This window comes from Homo sapiens, chromosome 5 (genome assembly GCF_000001405.40).
Source record: "Homo sapiens chromosome 5, GRCh38.p14 Primary Assembly".
Lineage (NCBI taxonomy): Eukaryota > Metazoa > Chordata > Mammalia > Primates > Hominidae > Homo > Homo sapiens.
In genome coordinates this window covers 139,010,023-139,031,586 of record NC_000005.10, presented here as the reverse complement: position 1 = coordinate 139,031,586, position 21,564 = coordinate 139,010,023, and the positions used below count along the sequence as shown (strand labels likewise).

The 21,564-nt window shown below is 42.7% G+C and overlaps 1 protein-coding gene, 1 long non-coding RNA gene and 1 pseudogene across 6 annotated transcripts in view, besides 1 other annotated feature; 1 reads left to right on the top strand and 2 right to left on the bottom strand.

Annotated features, from left to right (window-relative positions):
• The window catches only part of SIL1 (SIL1 nucleotide exchange factor), a 251,645-nt gene that overhangs the window by 166,782 nt on the left and 63,299 nt on the right, over positions 1 to 21,564 (top strand). For all 5 annotated transcript variants that reach the window (NM_022464.5, NM_001037633.2, XM_011543570.3 and 2 more), the window contains 2 exons: positions 4,595 to 4,786; positions 10,295 to 10,416. In NM_022464.5, coding sequence (NP_071909.1) covers positions 4,595 to 4,786; positions 10,295 to 10,416 — 314 coding nt within the window. The remainder of the gene's footprint in view (positions 1 to 4,594; positions 4,787 to 10,294; positions 10,417 to 21,564) is intronic.
• Positions 18,760 to 20,486, bottom strand: LOC124901080 (uncharacterized). The gene is made up of 2 exons (XR_007058955.1): positions 20,443 to 20,486; positions 18,760 to 18,937 (listed from the first exon to the last, which is right to left on the bottom strand). It is a non-coding gene; the product is annotated as an uncharacterized LOC124901080 (long non-coding RNA).
• On the bottom strand, positions 19,146 to 19,258 carry RNA5SP194 (RNA, 5S ribosomal pseudogene 194; annotated as a pseudogene).
• Positions 20,396 to 21,043: an enhancer, noted in NCBI's record as "NANOG-H3K27ac-H3K4me1 hESC enhancer chr5:138346233-138346880 (GRCh37/hg19 assembly coordinates)". NCBI's record gives its function as "activates a minimal SCP1, AML or CMV promoter by ChIP-STARR-seq in naive H9 embryonic stem cells {active_cell/tissue: H9 hESC(naive)}" and the evidence as "EXISTENCE:reporter gene assay evidence [ECO:0000049][PMID:30033119]".

Here is a 21,564-nt window from a genome sequence, read left to right as displayed (position 1 = left end):
TAGCTAGAATTTTAAAAAGAAGAATAAGTGGAAGAAAACACACCACCTGATTTTAAGGCTTACTCTGTAGCTATAGTAATCAAGACAATGTGGTATTGGTGGAGAGAAAGAATCATAGATCAATGGAACAGAGTAGAGAACCTAGAAATAGACCCACACTAATACAACTGACTGATTTTTGACAGGTGCAAAAGTAGTTCAATGGAAGACAAATAGTCTTTTCAGCAAATAGTGGGCATCCATAAGCAAAAAATGAGCTGTCACTTAAACCTCATACCTTAAAAAAAATTAATTCAAAATAGATCATAGATTTAAATGTAAAATGTGAAACTAAAAAGAAAAAAAAAATCTTCTAGAATGAAACATAGAACATCTTTGGGAACTAGGACCAGGTAAAGAGTTCTTATGACATGGCACCAAATGTAAGATTTATAAAAGAAAAAAATTGATAAATTGGACTTCACCAAAATTAAAAAGTTTTGTTTTGTCAAATACCCTGTTAAGATGATCAGAAGATAAACTACTGGAAGGAAATATTTGCATATCATATACCAGCAGTCCTCATTTTATGTTATGTGGAATTGTGAAAATGTGCACACTGAAACTATGCAAAACAATCTTAACATAATCAAGGGAAAAATTATGATTGTTCCATGATCCTTGAAATGTTTTGCCAGACATTAAAGCAACTACATTGCTATTGGTTATAAGTATATATAGAAATGAAAAAGCAATAGTAATATTTATTTAGCACACTGTAATTTAAAACATTAGAAACATTTAGAATTATGCCGGGCACAATGGCTCACACCTGCAATCCTAGCACTTTGGGAGGATCGCTTGATTCTAGGAGTTTGAGACTAGCCTGGGCAACATAGCCCGGAAATGGTCTATGTTTTCTACAAAAAATAGTTTTTTTCTACCCCCCAAAAAAAAGAATTCTTTTTTTTTTCTTTCTTGCTTTTTTTTTTTTGACAGGGTCTCTGTCACCCAGGCTGGAGTGCAGTGGCAGGATTACAGCTCAAGTGATCCTCCCACCTCAGCCTCCCGGGTAGCTGGGACTACAGGTGTGTGCCACCATGCCACACCAAAAAATACATTTTTTTTTTTGAGACAGAGTCTTGCTCTGTCGCCCACACGGGAGTACAGTGGTATGATCTTGGCTCACTGCAGCCTCCACCTCCCAGGTTCAAGTGATTCTCCTGCCCCAGCCTCCCAAGTTACAGGCATGTGTCACCATGCCTGGTCATTTTTGTATTTTTAGCAGAGAAGGGGTTTCATCTTCTCTCTAATTTCACCTTCTCTAGTTGGCCAGGCTGGTTTTGAACTCCTGGCCTCAGGTGATCCACCTGCCTTGACCTTCCAAAGTGCTGAGATTACAGGCGTGAGCCACTGCGCCTGGCCAAAAAATTCAAATAATTTTTGTGTTTTTTGTAGACACAGGGTTTTGCCATGTTGCCTAGGCTGTTCTCGAACTCCTGGCTCAAGCGATCCACCCACCTCAGCTTCCCAAAGTGCTGAGATTATAATCTAATTATAACCTAATCTCGTTAGAAAGAAGTATGATAATTAGCCAAGAGAGAAAAGATGCTTGCTCTGTGTCACAATTTTTTTGGAGTCAGAGTCTCACTCTATTGCTCAGGTTGAAGTGGTACGATCACAGCTCACTGCAGTCTCACCCTCCTGGACTCAAGTGATCCTCCCACCTCAGCCTGAGTAGTTAGGACTATGGGCACACATCACCATGCCTGGCTAAAATTTTTAGTTTTTACAGAAAACTAAAAACTTGGCTGGGTATGGTGGCCCACATCTGTAATCTCAGCACTTTGGGAGGCTGAGGTGGGTGGATCGCTTGAGCCAGGAGTTCAAGACCAGCCTGGGCAACATGGCGAAACCCCATGTCTACAAAAAACTAAAAATTTTAGCCAGGCGTGGTGACTTGTGCCTGTAGTCCTAACTACTCACGCTGGGGTGGAAGGATCACTTGAGTCCAGGAGGGTGAGACTGCAGCGAGCTGTGATTGTACCACTGCACTTCAACGTGAGCAATAGAGCGAGACCCTGACTCCAAAAAAATTATGACATAGAGCAAGCATCTTTTCTCTCTTGGCTAATTATCATACATCTTTCTAAGTATGGATGAGCCTCCAACATTTCACCCTTCGTACTTTCAATGTTGTGAAATTTCTCAGAGAGTTCCTGTAATGTGAAGTTTTTTGCCAGTGTCATTTCATCCTTTTTATCACTTTCCTAATTTGTGTCTGTAAGTTTGCCTTTGCTGAGTCCCTCTGTCTGCACATCTAGAGCTCATCAACAGTGGCAGTGTTAACATTCCCACAGTCAGCCATTTCTTCTATAACTCCATGTACATTCAATTCAAATTTCATTGCCAAAGTTACCACCTTTCATTTATTTGCTGCGCTTTCATCTTTGCTGGCCAGTTCTCTGTTTAAAAAAATAGAATTTAAAAAATATAAATACAGAGAGTCTCACTATATTGCCCAGACTGGTCTGGAACTCCTGAGCTCAAGTTGTCCACCTGCCTTGGCCTCCCAAACTTCTAGGATTACAGGCATGAACCACTGTGTATATAACATTTTTTAAATGCCAGAATTATAAACATGGAGAATAAATTAGTGACAACCAGGGCACAGGGATGTAAGAGAGTAGCATGGGAGGATAAAGTATAACTGTAAAGGAGTAGTACATAGTAGATTATGTGATCATGGTGGGACAGTTCTCTAGCATGATTGTTCTGGTAGTTACACAAGTCTACATCTCAGGTAAAATTACATAGAATGATACACATACACACATACATGTAAGTGAGTATATGTAAAAACTGGTGAAATCCAAACAAGGTGTTTAGTCTAGTTAACAGTATGGTACCTGTGTCCTTTTCTTGATTTTGACATTGTATCCTTATGTAATATCCTTATGTAAAATGTTAACATTGAGGGAAGCTGGATGAAGGGTACATGACACTCTCTGTACTATTTTTTGTTATTTCTTGGGAATTTATAATTATTTCAAAGTAAAAGTTTTGTTTTGTTTTGTTTTGTTTTGTTTTGTTTTGTTTTGTTTTGTTTTGTGATGGAGTCTCGCTCTGTCGCTTAGGCTGGAGTGCAGTGGCACGATCTCCGCTCACTGCAACCTCTGCCTTCTGGGTTCAAGCGATTCTCCTGCCTCAGCCTCCCGAGTAGCTGGGACTACAGGTGTGAGCCACCATGCCCGGCTAATTTTTGTATTTTTAGTAGAGATGGGGTTTCACCATATTGGTCAGGCTGGTCTTGAACTCCTGACCTCGTGATCTGCCTGCCTCGGCCTACCAAAGTGCTGGGATTACAGGTGTGAGCCACTGTGCCCGGCCAAAACCTTTTTTTTTTTTTGAGGCCTTCTTGAGAGCCAGGCACACATCGTTTTTGTGAGACAGATGTCACTAGTTTCTTATTGTGCTCACTTGCCTATCATCTCACAGTTCTAGAAAGTGACTCAGCCTTCCCAGACCTCTTTGCTTGGCTTTGGCAGCCATCCAGAGACCTCTAGCTGGGTGCAGGGAGAGTATCTCATATTATTTTAGCCCAGAGAATCAGGATGTGGCGCCCCATGGATGTGATTGCTCCGCTAGGAGCTTGGTCTTTTTTAAGAGAGGCTGATTCATTTCTTTGGTTGGTGTTTCTATGGAGTGCTTGTAACTGGGGAGAAAAACCCATAGGTAATAGATGAGCAATTTGGAGCTGACAGCTGTTCATCATCCGGCTTTTTATAAATATCTGTGCCTTTTAGTTTTTCTTGGAAGACAGATACATAAGCCACTGTGACTTTTCAGACTCTCTTTATAGGCACTATCTTCTCAAATTGGGAAGAAAACAGTGTCACATGTATAAAATATTTAATTAAAGTCTTTTATTCACCTCTAATGTAACTTCATTTTTAAAGTTTTTATATGTGAGTGGAGTGGGGAAGGATTCAGAGAAAATTGTTCGAGATTTGAGTATAGTACATATAGTAATTTAGCCATTTCAAACAGTTGAACAAATTGTACACCTGTGGTTAGATTGACAGTAATGACAGTGATTTAATTTTCATCAGCAAATTGCTCCTGCTGTGACAGCTCTTACCCATAGTTTTCTATGTCCAAGTTTCCCTAAAATGTTGTTGGATTGGGTAGGGCAAGGCCAAGATAGTCTATGATTGTGAGAAGTGGAGAAGTAGGGTGTGGGTTATTCTACCTTAGGTCTCAGCTGTTTCATATGTGGTTTGAGGTTGAAGATGAACTTGCATTACTTCCCCTTAACTCAGTGGTTGTGACAAAAAGCCTTTCTATTCTTCCTGAATATTGGAAATCGGACTTGAATAAGCGAATCTTGGAACATCTTGAGTGTGTTTTTAGAGCTGAGGCCTATATAGGCAGACTTTGAGGGCTGTCTTCTCTGGGCATCTTAGAAAGTATTAGTATTTTTGATAGCATAGATGAGAGAAGACTGTGAGTCTTGGAGCAGCAGTTTTTTGAGGATGGGCATCCATGGTAGACCACAGACATCTTGGGCAGATGTCTCCAACCAATTTAATCACCTCTTTGCTGCTCTCCTTAGGCAAGGCAGGCTGAGGTAAAGCGGCTCTTCCGCCCCATTGAGGAACTGAAGAAAGACTTTGATGAGCTGAATGTTGTCATTGAGACTGACATGCAGATCATGGTACGGCTGATCAACAAGTTCAATAGTTCCAGCTCCAGTTTGGAAGAGAAGATTGCTGCGCTCTTTGATCTTGAATATTATGTCCATCAGGTACTGTATTTCTTCGTCCATAAGTCAGACTTTTAACAGCTCCAAAAATAAATCCCCCTTCCCTAAGCCCTAAGAAAATAGCATCAACATCTTTACTTCTCTCCCAGAGCACAGACTATTTTTAATCTAGTCTTGTTATCTTTTGTAGTAAGATACAGTCTTAGAGGCCAGAGCCAACTTCTTTTTCTTTTTTTGTCTGAGTCAGAGTCTCACTCGGTCACCCAGCCTGGAGTGCAGTGGCGCGATCTCGGCTCACTGCAACCTCCACCTCCTGGGTTCAAGCTATTCTCCTGCCTCAGCCTTCCGAGCAACAGGGATTACAGGTGTGCACCACCACGCCCAGCTAATTTTTTGTATTTTTGATAGAGATAGGGTTTCACTATGTTGGCCAGGCTGGTCTTGAACTCCTAACCTCAAGTGATCCACCCACCTTGTCCTCCCAAAGTGCTGGGATTACAGGCTTGAGCCACCATGCCTGGCCAGCCAACCTCTTTTTCATGTGGAGTGGTACCTTCTTTAGTACCTCTGAGGGTACCACAGAGATAAAATAGACATAGTCCTAGTTATGCAGCTTATAGCCTGGAAGAGGAAGTAATTGAATAATGAACAATTGAACAAATTAATTAAATAATGAGATAATTTAAGATTGTAATGAGGGCTCCAGAGGGTGATGTAAGAATATGTAACTGGAGAACTTAGAGCCTAGTCATGGACAATAAGGGAGGCTTCTCAGAGGATGTGACATTTAGGCCAAGCGTTATAGGATGATTGGGGTTGGCTGGGTGAAGAGGGGGGACTAGAGCAGGGGATGGCAAACTACTGCCCATAGGTCAAATCTGGCCCAACACCTCCTTTCCTAAATAAAATTTTATTGGGGCACAGCAACCCCTATTTGTTCATGCATTGTTTATTGCTGTTTTTATGCCACAATGGCAGAATTGAGTAGTTGTGACAGAGACCATATGGCTCACAAAGTCAAAAATATTTACTACCAGGCCCTTTAGAAAAAGTTTGCCAATCCTTAGATTAGAGCATTCCAGCTAGAGGAAACAACATGTGCAGAGATTCTAGGGCAGGGACAAGCTTGGGGAGATTGAGGGCCTGGAAAAGATTGGAGTGACTGGAGCACAGCGGCCTGGAGGGGAGCATAGATGAAGTGGGAAGGTTCGGGGGCTGGAGAGGTGAGGTTGGAGATATCATGCTCTTTATGATTTTAGCCTTGATCCTAAGAACCACTAGAGAGTTTGAAGCAGGGAAGTAACTGATCAGACTTATAATAACTAATATTTGTTGAGTGTTGTCATATACCAGGCACTGCTTCAAGTGCTCTGTATGCATTAATTCATTGACTTCCGTGGCTGCCCTATGAGTAGGTACCACTATTAATCCCATTTTATAACCGAGGAAAATGAGGCACAGAGAGATTATGTAATTGCTCAAGATCATCCAGCCTAGTGAGTGGTAGAGCTGGAATTTGCAGCAAGGTCTGTCTGACCCTAAACTCTGTGCTCTAAAACTTTTGGCCACTCTGTTTCTCAAAGGCAACTGGTACCTTTTGAATTAAGCTCAAAAGGTGGAGCTAACAAGGAGCCAATAAAAGCCATTGATTTATTCAATAAATAAATCAAGTGTCTACTAACTCCCAGGCACTGTTCCAGGCACTTGAGATACGTCTATGAACAAAATTAGGGCTTAACCTTCTAGCAGAAGCAGATAGACAAGCATAAGAAAGAAGTAATTATATGTAATATGTTTGTAGGTAATAAATACTGTAGAAAAATAGAAACTATGGCGAGATAGGAACTGGCAGCATTGAGAAGGGGCATCTCTGGCTGGAGGAAGAGCAAGTGTGGAAGCCCGGTGGTGGGAACATGCCTAGTGTGTTTGAATCAGCTGGAGCTGAGAGCAGGCAGAGAAGAAGTACATACAGCTCAGAGAGATAATGGGAGGAAGAATATAGAGGGCCTGTAGGCCATGGAAAAGAGTGAACTTGCATATTATTGAAGGATATTGAGCAGAAGAATGATGTGATCTGACTTACTTTTAAAAGGATTCCTCCAGCTACTGTGTTGAGAATTAGACTGCAGGTGGGGGGCTTGGTAGAAGCAGAGACCAGATAGGAGGCTATTGCAGTAATCCAGACTAGGGGCAACAGTGGCCCAGGAGGCTGTGTAATCATAATCAAAGGCTTGTTTGAGATCCTTGTCAAGACACAGATCCTCAATGTCCTCCCATGCACCATGCACGACAGTGCCCTTGTTCTCTGTAAACTGGGCTAAAAGACATGCTTTCTTCCTTTAGGATTTTGCCAGCATCTGTGGTGAAAGAGGATGAGTATGCACTGTATCCATAGGAATTATGGGGCAGCCTCTTCATCTTCTTTCTCTGCTCATAACTCTTTCTCAGGCCTCAAATAGCAGGACTCTGATCCTCTTAGAGAAAAAAAATGAACCTCGGTTCTCTTTCCCCTTTCCAGTCTTACTCTCCAGGGTAAAAACCAAGAACTCCAACAGCTTTTCCATTAGAGATATTTAAAGGATTAAGGATATAAGGGGTTATTTGCCAACTCAGTCCTCCTTTGATGTTGACAGCTTCTATTTTTTCTCATCTTAACATATTTGGATGAATCTTTAGGTATCAGGTCACCATGGGCTCTTGCACATGAAACACCAAAATGACTGGAGAGCTTATCATACCTGGAAGGGTGTGAGTCCACAGGAGGCTTGGGCTAGCATTGCCCCAACAAAGTTCTTTGTTTTCCCTTGTAGGCTCTTTGTCACTTGGCAGTGTCTTCCCTAAGGTGACATCCCCATTCTGCTTTCACAGGCCACCTCACCAGACCCATCCTGAGGTCATCCCAAAATCAGTCCCTGGCAGAAGCCAAATTTGTCTGTTGGCAGAGAAATGTTCTGGATCATTGGTGTTTTGACTGGAAGGGCTGGTGCATCAGGCTGCCATGCAGCAATGTTAAGCTGTGATTTCACTGGGGGATTAAGTAAGACACAACTCGGCCCGAGTCCCAGTTGTGATGGGGGCTTGGGGTGATGTAGTACTAGTTTTAAGGAAGATGGCACTTTCCTAGCCAGGAACTTCCCCAGTCCTTTCTCATTCCAGACTCACTGAATGGTGGTTTGAGGAGCTGTAGGCTCCAAGGACCCAAACCAGGTCTGCCAGGCTTCCTCACAGCCATATTTGAATTATTAAACAGGATATGTGAAAAGCAAAACCTTGTGTGTGGAAACAGATGGTGAGTTATTTATGAGGAGCGGCCTCCGTCCGCCCCATCTACCTCGGGCAGTACATTTGCCTTCTCCCACGTGTCTCCTCAGCTGTGTGCCACCATTTTTCCCCTTCGCTGTTTCCCATTCTCTCATTGTCTTATCAGTGCCCTGCTTCTTTCCTTTCCTCCAGGGTGTTGGCATAGTTCCCTCCTGCACTCCCTCCTCCTCTTCCTCTCTGCCTGTCCCACCCCACCCCGAAGGCAGCCTGAGAACAGTTTTGGCCCCAGACCGAGATGGGGAGCTGTGGACCTGGGCTATGGTCATGGTTTCTCCTGTATGTCACCAGGGGGGGGCCCAGCTTTTGATGTGCACTGGGCAGAATGAATCGTTTCTTCCTCACTGTTAGTGAAGTAAACCATGAGAAAACATCCCAAAAAGGCTGAAGTGCTTATATAAATGTCTGCATTTCTATCATGCTGAATTATCATTGTAGTAATAGTAGATAAACTGACTCTAGAACAGAAGGTCCATGATTCTGGGCTGTGTTGCTTTGGAGCTGACCGAGTGGCAGCTGCTCTGCTAGGAACTCATACCAGCTTTATAAGTGGCCATTCCAGGCGTGGTATGACAGGATTCTGAGCCATAGTTTTGTATCCAGAAAACCCAGAGGAAGGACAACCAAAGAATAGGTAGTGAATTCTTACATTGTAAAATTAGAGCATGTAGGGAAGGAAGGAAGGTGCTTATGTCAGCAAAGCACCCAACCCTGAGTCTCCCTAGTTAGCTGGGCTGTGGCTCAACCAGTTATTCCTCTTCATAAGAACAGTTTGGGGCAGAAAAATGTCCATGGCCTGGGGCCACATGGCAGAGCAGACTTCATGCTTACTTCACAACCTGGTTTAGCCATTACTTCATGTCTGCGGTACCAGAGGCCCATTCATTTTGTTGGCACAGATACCCCAGATTGCCTTTTTATTCACACTGGAGCTTTATTTCAGGAACATTCTTTTCTGATCAAATTCATACTCATTAATGCAACAGTTATTCATTGAACACCTAACCATATGCTCAGCACCATCCTAGTCCCTGGAGCTACAAGCGTGGACAGACAGACAAAACCCCTGCTGTCATGGAGATTCCATCCAAATGTGTATGAATATGATTTTTCAAGTGGCAACAACAGGCTAGGCCACCACAAAACACTAGCACAGTCAAATACCAATCCTCACACTTGATTTCTCTGTCAGAGTCCTCTCCTAGTTCAGAGAGGCAAGGATGCAGTTGGGAAGGGGCCCTGTGGAATCTGGAGGAGAAAGATGGGTAGCAGCCACAGTTGTTGGGCTTCAGCTTCCTGAGTTTTCCTCATGATTGATAGCGTGGGATTAGCATATGGGCAAGATGCAGCCTTTGTGGCAACAAAGATATATTCGAGGGAGACTGTAGCGGGTACATGTAGAAAACAGGATCCAGTGACCTTTCTGAGGAAAGCGAGTTGTCTTGTTCCAGGGTACTAATAAACTGTGGGTAATGAGATCCGCTATAGAGTAAAAGAGAGAATCCGGACTTGGGGATTTGGAGCTTAAATGATAGCCTAGACCAATGCTGTTGAATAGAACTTTATGTAATGATAGAAATGTTCTGCACTGTCTGATACATAGCCACTAGCCAGTAGCACAGGCTTAGACAGAAACCTTTGGGAGAGCGATTTTCTTGCATATTTTATCATGAATGTCTTCAGATGCAGTCAACCTGAGATGCAAGAGAAAGGTACTATTGTTATTCCCCCCTCCCCAGCACTCTTACGGCAACCCCCCTCCCAATAACAGGGCTCCTTTTATAGTCCCTAGCTTCTAATTTAAAATCAGCTTTAAAAATCTGCCTCCACTGTCCCCATTGGGATTGGACATCAGCAGGAAGCATGGCACCATTTAGTGGTGCTGATGACGCCAGATTCTTTGTGTTAACAGCTTGTACATTAGGAGCAAGCTTTGTGACTCATTATGATATTAGAATTTTCCAGGACATGTTTGGCATAAGCAATAGCTAGGTGTCATTTCTGCTGATTCCCACGCAGGTGCTCATCAATCGTGTTAGATGAATTAGGAGTTCTCAAATTTAAGAGTATTAAAAAATTGGTTTTTACAAACCTTTTCTTAGTCAAAAAGGCCATTATTGATTTTTCCATGGCTTTTTAATTTGTTTTTGGGTAGTCACCAAAAGAAAGGCTCTAAGAACAGCTTTCCTGTCCCTGATGGCTATGCTGTACTAAGCAGTGGCTCTGTTGCAGATGGACAATGCGCAGGACCTGCTTTCCTTTGGTGGTCTTCAAGTGGTGATCAATGGGCTGAACAGCACAGAGCCCCTCGTGAAGGAGTATGCTGCGTTTGTGCTGGGCGCTGCCTTTTCCAGGTGAGCAGTATAATGGACGTCCCAATGGCCAGAATTGCTTGGCCTGATCTGCTTGGAAGAAGGGTACACTTGAATGTGCCTGTTGCTACTGACATTTCAGTGTCATCTCAATGAAACTAGAGTAAAATTTGATTCTGCCCTTATTCCAAGTAGATAGGAATTTTTACCCATGTTGTCACCATCTGTGACTCTCTGTTCCCCCATCTTATGTGTATGGACATTTAATAACACATCTTAGGTCACATTCTCTGTTTTATTCAAAGCTTGTAAAAAGTTAGACCAACTATAAATAGTAGAGAGGGAGGGGAATAAACAAGAGTAGGTCTTTTGGCAGTAAAGCTACATCTAGTGACGAATAAATGATGAGCCTGACCAAGGGGGTGCTTTCAGGGAGGAATGTGTCTTGCCCTAGTTGTCTGGAACCAATGTACATGCCGTCAGATTATCGCCCTCTCTAGGTTGGAAATTGTTGAGAATTTCAGTTAGTCTGGCTTGTGATGGAAGACTGATAAGGCAAGAGGAGTGGGGAGGTAGCATCTCGAAAGAGTAGATGCCAAAAGATATGTAGGCACCACATCATTCTACACCACCTGCAAAGGTCAAGATATCTGCATGCTGCAATTGGTCCATTGGAGCTATTGTTCCTCCCATTTTTGAAAATCTGCTCTTAGGACCATTTGTGCCTTTAAAACAGGAACAAATATTCTGATTCTTGCTGCAAGGGCATGGGTGGAGGCTATTAGATGCTTAGATGCAGGTCACGATGTTACAGGAGAAAAGCTATTCTGAACATATTTACCATTATAGGCTTTGTTTCGAGAAGATTTCCTTTGTGCTTTATCTGTGCTTGTTTTTTAAATCAGAATCTCAGTCTGATGCTCTCTCACTCTGAAAGGCATTCAGCATATTTTCTTAGTAAGTTGAAGGGCAGAGCTGGGAAAGCTGGAGGAGTTGTTCCATGAGGAGAGGCACTGCCGGCCTTTGTTTCCGTTATCACCACTCTGCCTGGATCTTCAAGCCCTGGCTCCCTGTGTTGGTGGTGTTGACAGTCAAGGCTCTGGCCTCAAGGGCAACTCCACCTCCCTTGGTCTCACCTCCCAGAACCAAAGTCTCCCAGGAAGCCCAGGGAAATCTCCTCCTGTGCAGCCACTGGAAAGATGGAAAATCTGCATGTTTGACGTTAGTATCTGCGGTTTCAGTCATGAGGAAGTCCAGGAAATCCAGGGTCTTAGCCTTATAAGGCTTTAGAGGCTTGAGAACTTACTAAAGCTCACTTTTTACTTCTCAGGCCAGAAAAGAACTAAATCCAACATTATTAACCTCTCTCCAGACCCTTTTTGGAAATCTTTGCCTTACTCCCGAGTACTTTTATTCTACCTTTAATATGAACAAATTATCCTATACGTCCCTTGCCGTTGCTTCTGGAAATACATTACTTGGGGGAAACTGTGTAGCATTTTCATGTCACATCCTAGTTAAAGGGGACTAATTAAGTGACTTGAGAAACATGCGTTGGGCCTGCTTTGCAGACCCGTAACTCACCCAGGGGCTGTGCCAATGTGTGGTGTTATTAAGACTTTTCTGTGATTGTATTAGCTTAAGACCATGTTAACATTTATGCAGCATCAACTAAAATTTAAATAGAGATAAATATAAAATATTGCAATTTAGTGTTTTGGTGGCAAGCAAACTGCTGTATTCAAAATGTTCTAGCTAGGTTTTTGATGGCTCACTGGAGGGCTGTTACCGTGACAGCATGGTATGGCGCCAGAGCTTTTGGAAGCCAACAGCAGGCTCCCAAACACCATGGAAATGTCAATGTTTTCTGCAAAGAGGAACTTGATGCAAGGTAAGGATATTTCTACATGGAGAGGTAGGTTTCAGTACTCTAGTCTGATATTCATCATTTACTCTTCATGTCTTAAGTATTGGCTCTGCACCTCTGTAACCGCTTCTAGTATACAGGTGTGTATACACCTGCCACACATGTGCACAAATACACAACACAGTGATGGGATGAGCTTGCTCTTTATCAAGAGGGTGTTCAGATGATAGTGAGCACTCTGGAATCATGGAGTCCTAGCACTGGGGATAGTATCTAGAAGATATTCTTTCTAGTTTTCTGCTGATGGGCATGAATACTGCTCAGTCAGTCCAGATGTTTGGGTATTTAGGAGGATTAGGCAGACCACTGGACCTACAGTCAATCTAGTTTCAAGTTTAGTTTCTACTATTTCCTATCTGTGTGCCCATGGACAACCTTTCTAAGCCTCACCTTTTTCTTACGTTAACAGGGAACAATAATAGGTGTTCTCTGCATTTCATAAAATTGAGTGAGTATCAAATAATATACAATGACCTGTGAAAACGGTTGTAAAGCACCTGTCAGTGACAAGATGGTATCAATATCATCCCCCTCATCAGGATGTGTCCTTTATACTATGAGTTTCTGCTATAGTAATTCTTATTTCTTTTCTTTCTGCAATAAAAACCTTTATCTTCCTCATTTTCTCTTCTGTTAAGTCGCTTATATTCTACCATGTATCTCTTGGTGCTACCCTTTTTTTTTTTTTTTTTTTTGAGTCAGGGTCTCATTCTTTTCACTCAGGCTGGAGTACAGTGGCCCGATCTTGGCTCACTGCAACCTCTGCCTCCTGGGCTCAGGTGATCCTTCCACCTCAGCCATCTCTGTAGCTGGGACTACAGGTACGCGGCACCACATCTGGCTAATTTTTATAATTTTTGTAGAGGCAAGGTTTCACCATGTTGTCCAGGCCAGTCTCCCGGACTCAAGCAATCTGTCCATGTTGGCTTCCCAAAGTGCTGGGCTTATAGGCATGAGCCACCATGTCCGGTCTCTTGTTGCTAATCCTGCTGCTTCATTGAGGGCATTTATTTGCCTGCTTGGGTTAATTGCTTAATAAGGTTTTGATATACATTTGTGTGGATGAAGAGATCTATTTCCTGGTGTTAAACATGAAGCAATTATTCCAAGATCGAGAAGAGAGAGTACATGTAAATGTAATTGACATGACTACTAAATGTTACATGACCACTGAAATAAAGTTTATTTAAATACTATTCACACTTATATATGGGTCACACACGTTCATTTTCCTGTTTTTGCCCACATATAAGGCAGGTCAAGCTCTTACATAAAAAGATATGCAGGGGTAGGGGTGCTGATGCTTTTAGCAGCTTCGTCTTTTAATGGTTTTTCTTTTATCTCAAACCTGCTTTCTCCTTCTTCAAGTAAATACTTTCATTGGCCTTTCTGTGACCTGATTTAATCTCATAATGGCACTTGTGTGTGTCTGTCTGCAGTCTGACCTACCAGGAGTCTCTGGAGTTCCAGACAAGTCATTTGTGTTTCTGTATAAGGGGAGTCTCGAAAAGGCTTTGTGAATTTCAGAGGCCAGGCAGCCTTCTGTAATCTGGTTTTGGTTCTTAGCAAACTAGCCGCCTGCTTTTGTTTTCCTCTTAGCTCCCTATATATCTCCTTTACCTCGTAACCGTCAGGAGTTAAACTATCAAGTAACTAGTATGCCTGCCCCATGTAACACTGACTTTGCTGTTCTCATGCCCCTGCCTCAGTCACCTTTGGAGTCCTGTATCCTTCTTTAATAACCCATGTTCTCATCTGCACATGTATGAATTACTATGCAATTACATGGGCTTATAAGCATTCATGTTTGCAGTACTTTTGAACTTTCCACAGTTTGCAGGATGTCATGGAACTGAACCTAGTACAAAAAAGGATGTACATGTGCCATTAGTCATGGTGAGATTATGTACTTTTACAATGGATCCCCAGAACAGGTTTCTGTTCTTCCCCCTTTATCCTTGGCATCATCCTTGGAACCTCCTTGGCAGATTTTGGGTTATATATATCCCTTTATAAAATGAACGTATCCCCCTCCCCCAACCTTGTCCCCTCTCACCTCATGCTTTGTTGGCTCTCTTAATTTCCTTAGTTGTGCTCTTCCTGCTGAGGGTTTACCAATTAATTTTAACTCTTTGAACCTGGGTGCAATGGCTTACGCCCATAATTCCAGCACTTTGGGAGGCCACGGCAGGTGGATTGCTTGAGCCAGGGTTCAAGACCAACCTGGGCAACATGGTGAAACCCTGTCTCTACAAAAAATACAAAAATTAGCTGGGCATGGTAGCATGTGCCTGTGGTCCCAGCTATGCTACTCGAGAGGCTGAAGTGGGAGGATTGCTTGAACTTGGAAAGTCAAGGCTGCAGTGAGCCATGATCACACCATTGCACTCCAGCCTAGGTGACAGAGTGAGGCCCTGTCAGGGGGGAAAAAAAAAAGAGTAGACAGAAAGGAATACAAATGAGTGCACATGGGCATTAAATTAATGTACTTGAAACTACTATTCCTACAATCTGGTTTCTGTCCCTGAAATTTTTCAAGAGTACTATCCCTGAAATTTTTCAAGAGTACTTTGTCATCATTGGCATCTTTGTGGCAGTCAAACTGTTGGCTGCCACTTTCCTTAGGGAACTTTACCTCTTGGCTGCCATGTCATTATAGTCCCTTGGTTTGGGGATGATTGTAATTAATCACTCACTCCCCTTTTCCTTTTTTGGCAACATCATCATCTTACTATCTTCTGTTAATAATTGTAGCTATTCACAAAGATTCCTCCAGCCTTGTCCTCCTTCTCTCTTTTCATTTTCTCCCATAATGGTACTATCTATTCCTGTGGTTTCGAATCCAACCTCACTGTGGATGACTCTAGTGTCTACATTTAAGTCCAGCCTTTCTCCTGTGGTCTTCTACGTTTCTACCACACTGTCTCATCGCACCTCAAACTCAAGAAAGTGGAACTCATTATTGTTTCACAAACTAGATTTTTCCTCCCACATTCTCTTTTTATCTGTTCTTGGCATTGTGACTATTGTAGTTCTCCAAGCTTGAAACTTTTGAGTGATATTTGAGTCTACTTCCTTCTTCACTTTCTCATTAACTTAGTGAACAAGTCCTGTGGATTTTAATTTCTACTATTGTTGTCTACTAGACAATCATTCCCCATTTTTCTGGTTTTTAAGGTTTTTTTTTAGAGACAGGGTCTCACTGTGTTGCCCAGGCTGGAGTGCAGGGGCTCTTCACAGGTGTGATCATAGCATACTACAGCTTGAACTCCTGGGCTCAAGCAGTCTTCTTGCCCCAGCTTTCTGAGTGGCTGGGATTACAGGTATGCATCACTGTGCCTGGCCTCCCCCTTTTTCATCTACTAAGGAACCTCGATAATGTGAGGGCAGCAACATGTTTAGGCAGAAGATTCCCTTCCCCAGTTCTAGGAAATGCGCTATGAATGGTCTAAAGCAAACATGGAAATCCCATTCTCTATGGATGTGTATTAGTTTAGAGATGGCCATGTGGCCCAGTTCTGACCAATGAGACATAAAGAGATGTTTGCTTGGAAGCCTCTGGGAAGGATTTTGTTCTTATAATAACATAGTAAGGAGACCCTACCCACTTCTTCCTGCCTTGACTGCAGCTGTCTTGGAGCTGCAGCAGCTATCTTGGACCAGTGAGGTGAGAAGCACAAGAACAAAAAGCCAACATGCTGAGGAGGATAATAGAGGCGAAAGACAGGAGGAGGAAACTGGGTTATTTATGATGTAGTTTAGCCACTTTCGTGATTTTGGAACCATCTACTTCCAGATTTTTCTTATGAGAGGTAATGAAATGTCTTTGTTTTTTAAGATCAATGTTAATCATGATTCCATTACTTGCAACTGAGCATATATTCATATTGATATGAATTCATCTGGATATTTCCAAAATCCCTCTCAGATCTTTTAAATGAAAAAAAAATCCTGTTGATCTTCATAGCATTCATCTCAATTTGCAGTTATATATTTGGTTGGTTACCTGTTTACTGTTAATCTCCCTTATTAGATAGTACTTAGGGGATAAGATCTCTTTTCTATCTTTATTCTGCTGTCTCTCTAATATATAGCATAGGACCTAGTATTGGGTGGGTGCTCAGGAAATAATTATTGAATGAATACATGAAAAACAAAGGAATAAATTGATACCTTGGACATGAATTGTTTTTCAGAGAACGTTGGAGGCTGAGTGGACGGTGCTGTTTTTATTATTAATGATGTAATCATGGATGATTCAGATACCGCACCTTGACCCTTTAAAATCTAAGGCCATGGAAATGAGTGTATAGCCCCACTGGCTGAAGGCCCAGAAAATAGAAGGTTGGAGATTGGGATGAGGTCACACACTGGAGATGCCAGTGTTTGAATAAAAGTTCAAATGTGACCCCTAGGACTTGTCTGACCTCTTGTCTCTAGTAGCTCATTTTTCCACACTCTTATAGTGACAGGAGAGGTGCTCAAGCCTTTTGCATCTGATAAACTGATTAGCATATTAACCGAGATTGGCCTAGGAAATTGGATAGTCATAGCTCTCTTAAGCTACATTCAAAGTCTGATTACTTTTTTCAAATGGCAAATAATGACGAATGGAAAATGACCTCTGACTCTGACCAGCTATCCTGAGTACTGCAGAAACTAAGCCTTCATTCTGGGGAGGGAGGCACCACTTTGCTTAATAAACTTGTCCCTTCAGCATTTCGCTTGAATTTGTCTTTGTGATGTACCTCTGCCTTCTCCACATCCTCTATGTGGCTGTCTTCAGATTTTTTCACTACTATCCCCTTCTTAATTTCTTCCTTACATAACTCTCAGCACACAAAGTTCTTTGTTTTATCATCATCTTTATTAGCATTTGTTGTTGGACTCCTAAACTGACTCTTTTTTTTTTTTTTTTGAGACGAAGTTTCACTCTTGTTGCCCAGGCTGGGGTGCAAAGACGCGATCTTGGCTCACTGTAACTTCTGCTTCCTGGGTTCAAGTAATTTTCCTGCCTCAGCCTCCCGAGTAGCTGGGATTACAGGTGTGTGCCACCATGCCCGGCTAATTTTGTATTTTTAGTAGAGATGGGGTTTCTCCATGTTGGTCAGGCTGGTCTCGAACTCCAGACCTCAGGTGATCCACCTGCCTCAGCCTCCCAGAGTGCTGGGAAAACTGACTCTTTAATACATCTACTTCTCTGTTGTAAGCCAGTTCTTTCATCTATCTCCTCAACAAGATTGAAGGCTTCTTGAGCATGGGAACTGGTATTCAAGTCTGTGGTGCTCACAGCACCTTATAGAGGGTAAGTTTCATGTGGATGCTTTGAACATAAATGGTCTAACACAAAAATTGAAGTCACCAAAAATTGGTGGGAGAAAGAAAGCCACCAAGAGCAAGGAGGCTTTAAAATTTTTCTGTGCTTTGAGTTTGTTTGATTTTTCTTCCAGTGAGTATGTATTATTTTTGTAATTAACATTTAAATAGTGAGTGATGAAACAAAGCAAAACAGCACTGGGAGACTTCTCAATCTATCAAATAGCACATTTCCCAAGAAACTCTCTTAGTTCAAATACCTGAAGATGTTGTATTAAATACTTAAACATTTCTTTAAATGCTTAATTCAGCCAACAAGAAACTGTAGAGCCACTGCTCTGTGTAACTGCAGGGGAATTTAATAATGTCATATTCTTTATGTGGTAGCCCTGTAAGAAAGTGAGAGAAATTCTAAAGCAAATATAATGGAAAGCTCAAATCCTAAGAGATACAAAACACTGAACCTGACAGCTGACCTGGGAACATTTGCTATTCCCTAGTGACTGTGAGCTCTTGGTTTCAACAGGAATCATAATTTAGGGGACAAGAGACAAAGCTTAGGGGCCATGAAATAATTAGAAAAATGAAAATCTTCCACTAAAAAGGAATTATTAAGGCAAATTGGCTTTGAGTGGAAGGGAGAAAAATGCCTGCAGATCTTCAGTCTGTTTCCTAAGGAAACTGAGTCTGACATGCCTTCTGAAAACAGTGTAACACCACATAGGAAGCACTCTTGATAGAAAATCTAATCTGAATTTGAACATACTTCTAGATCTGATGTCCAATTTAAGGGAAATATTGGGGACAGGTGATAGGTTCAATGATATAATAGACTTGCAATCAGCAAAGACCAGACTGTGGAAAACCGTAGAGCAGGCAAATTACTGGCTTTTTCACAAAATAAGATACAAGAGAAAAAAATAAAGAGATGGGATGAAGCCCATAAATTAAAAGATATTTAAGATGAATATCAGCCAATTATAGTTACAATGTATGTACTTTTTGTTTTATTTTTTGAGACAGATCTTGCTGTATCACCCAAGCCTAGAGTGCAGTGGTGCAAACACGGCTTACTGCAGACTCAGTCTCCTGCCTCAGCCTCCTGTCTAGCTGAGACCACAGGCATATGCTCCATGCCTGGCTAGTTTTTACTTTTTATTGTTTTGTAGAGACAGGGTCTTACTTTGTTGCCCAGGTTGATCTTAAACTCCTGGGCTTGAGTGATTCTCCCACCTTGGCCTTCCAAAGTGTTTGTATTACAGGCGTGAGCCCCCATGCTGGAGCTCTACGATATGTTTACATCTTGACCAAATCAGCAATCTGCAAAAAAAGAAAAAAGAAAAAATCATGACATAATTGGGAACATTTAAACAATTACTTGATATTTGATAATATGAAGGATAATATTAAATTTTTGGTGTGAAAATGGTATTGTTTTGTTTTTGTAAAAAAGAGCCTTTTTAGAGAAGAAGTATGCTGAAAAATTTATGGGTAAAAGATAGGATGTCGGGCCAGGCACAGTGGCTCGTGCCTGTAATGCCAGCACTTTGGTCTCCCATCCAAGTACTAACCGGGCCCAACCTTGCTTAGCTTCCAAGATCAGATGAGATCAGGCACATTCAGGGTAGCATGGTCATAGATAATCAAAGCACTTTGGGAGGCCAAAGTGAAAGGATTGCTTGAGCCCAGGAGTTCAAGACCAGCCTGGGCAACATAAGGAGACCCCGTCTCTACAAAGAAATATTTTAATTTAGCTGGGTCTGGTGGTATGTTTCTGTGGTCCCAGCTACTCAGAAGGCTGAGGTGGGAGGATTGCCTGAGAATGGAAGTTGAGGCTGCAGTGAGCCATGATCATGCCACTGCACTGTAGCCTGGGCAACAGAGCGAGACTCCATCTCAGAAAACAACAACAAAAACCAAAGATAGGATGTCTCCATTATGCTTTATTTTGAGATCTGAGGAGGTGGGTAGGTGGCTGAGTCGGGGTATAGATAAAATAGTGCTAGCTATGACTTCATAATTTTGAAAGCTGAGTGAAGAGTCCATGGGGATTATTATACCATTCTCTGTATTTTAGTATATACATGAAAATTTCCATGGGAAAAGGTTTTTTTTAAAACGTAGTTTGAAATTGGCAGAATTTCTGGGTTACTGGTAGATGCAGAAACAAATCCTCTTTGGAGGAACTCACATCCAGGCCTCAGAGCATCCCCACAAACAAAAATCTTCCTATGATCATGAGCTCACAACCAAAACATCACAAAGCACATAAAAAATAAGGCACTATGAGTGAAAGACAGCAGAAACAGATAATCAAACTTTTAAAACTATAGCTAGATGGGGTGCAGTGGCTCACACTTGTAATCACAGCACTTTGGGAGGCTGAGGCAGGAGGATCACTTGAAGCCAGGAGCTTGAGACCAGCCTGGGCAACAAAGCGAGAACCTGTCTCTATTAATAATTTTTTAAAATAAATAAAAATTGGAGGAGCCAAGATGGCCGAATAGGAACAGCTCCGGTCTACAGCTCCCAGCGTGACCGACGCAGAAGATGGGTGATTTCTGCATTTCCATCTGAGGTACCGGGTTCATCTCACTAGGGAGTGCCAGACAGTGGGCGCAGGCCAGTGGGTGCGCGCACGGTGCGGGAGCCGAAGCAGGGCGAGGCATTGCCTCACCTGGGAAGCGCAAGGGGTCAGGGAGTTCCCTTTCCGAGTCAAAGAAAGGGGTGACGGACGCACCTGGAAAATCGGGTCACTCCCACCCGAATATTGCGCTTTTCAGACCGGCTTAAAAAACGGCGCACCACGAGACTATATCCCACACCTGGCTCAGAGGGTCCTACACCCACGGAATCTCGCTGATTGCTAGCACAGCAGTCTGAGATCAAACTGCAAGGCGGCAGCGAGGCTGGGGGAGGGGCGCCCGCCATTGCCCAGGCTTGCTTAGGTAAACAAAGCAGCCGGGAAGCTCGAACTGGGTGGAGCCCACCACAGCTCAAGGAGGCCTGCCTGCCTCTGTAGGCTCCACCTCTGGGGGCAGGGCACAGACAAACAAAAAGACAGCAGTAACCTCTGCAGACTTAAATGTCCCTGTCTGACAGCTTTGAAGGGAGCAGTGGTTCTCCCAGCACGCAGCTGGAGATCTGAGAACCGGCAGACTGCCTCTTCAAGTGGGTCCCTGACCCCTGACCCCCGAGCAGCCTAACTGGGAGGCACCCCCCAGCAGGGGCACACTGACACATCACACGGCAGGGTATTCCAACAGACCTGCAGCTGAGGGTCCTGTCTGTTAGAAGGAAAACTAACAAACAGAAAGGACATCCACACCAAAAACCCATCTGTACATCACCATCATCAAAGACCAAAAGTAGATAAAACCACAAAGATGGGGAAAAAACAGAACAGAAAAACTGGAAGCTCTAAAAATCAGAGCGCCTCTCCTCCTCCAAAGGAATGCAGCTCCTCACCAGCAACGGAACAAAGCTGGATGGAGAATGACTTTGACGAGCTGAGAGAAGAAGGCTTCAGACGATCAAATTACTCTGAGCTATGGGAGGACATTCAAACCAAAGGCAAAGAAGTTGAAAACTTTGAAAAAAAATTAGAAGAATGTATAACTAGAATAACCAATACAGAGAAGTGCTTAAAGGAGCTGATGGAGCTGAAAACCAAGGCTCGAGAACTACGTGAAGAATGCAGAAGCCTCAGGAGCCGATGCGATCAACTGGAAGAAAGGGTATCAGTAATGGAAGATGAAATGAATGAAATGAAGCGAGAAGGGAAGTTTAGAGAAAAAAGAATAAAAAGAAATGAGCAAAGCCTCCAAGAAATATGGGACTATGTGAAAAGACCAAATCTACGTCTGATTGGTGTACCTGAAAGTGATGGGGAGAATGGAACCAAGTTGGAAAACACTCTGCAGGATATTATCCAGGAGAACTTCCCC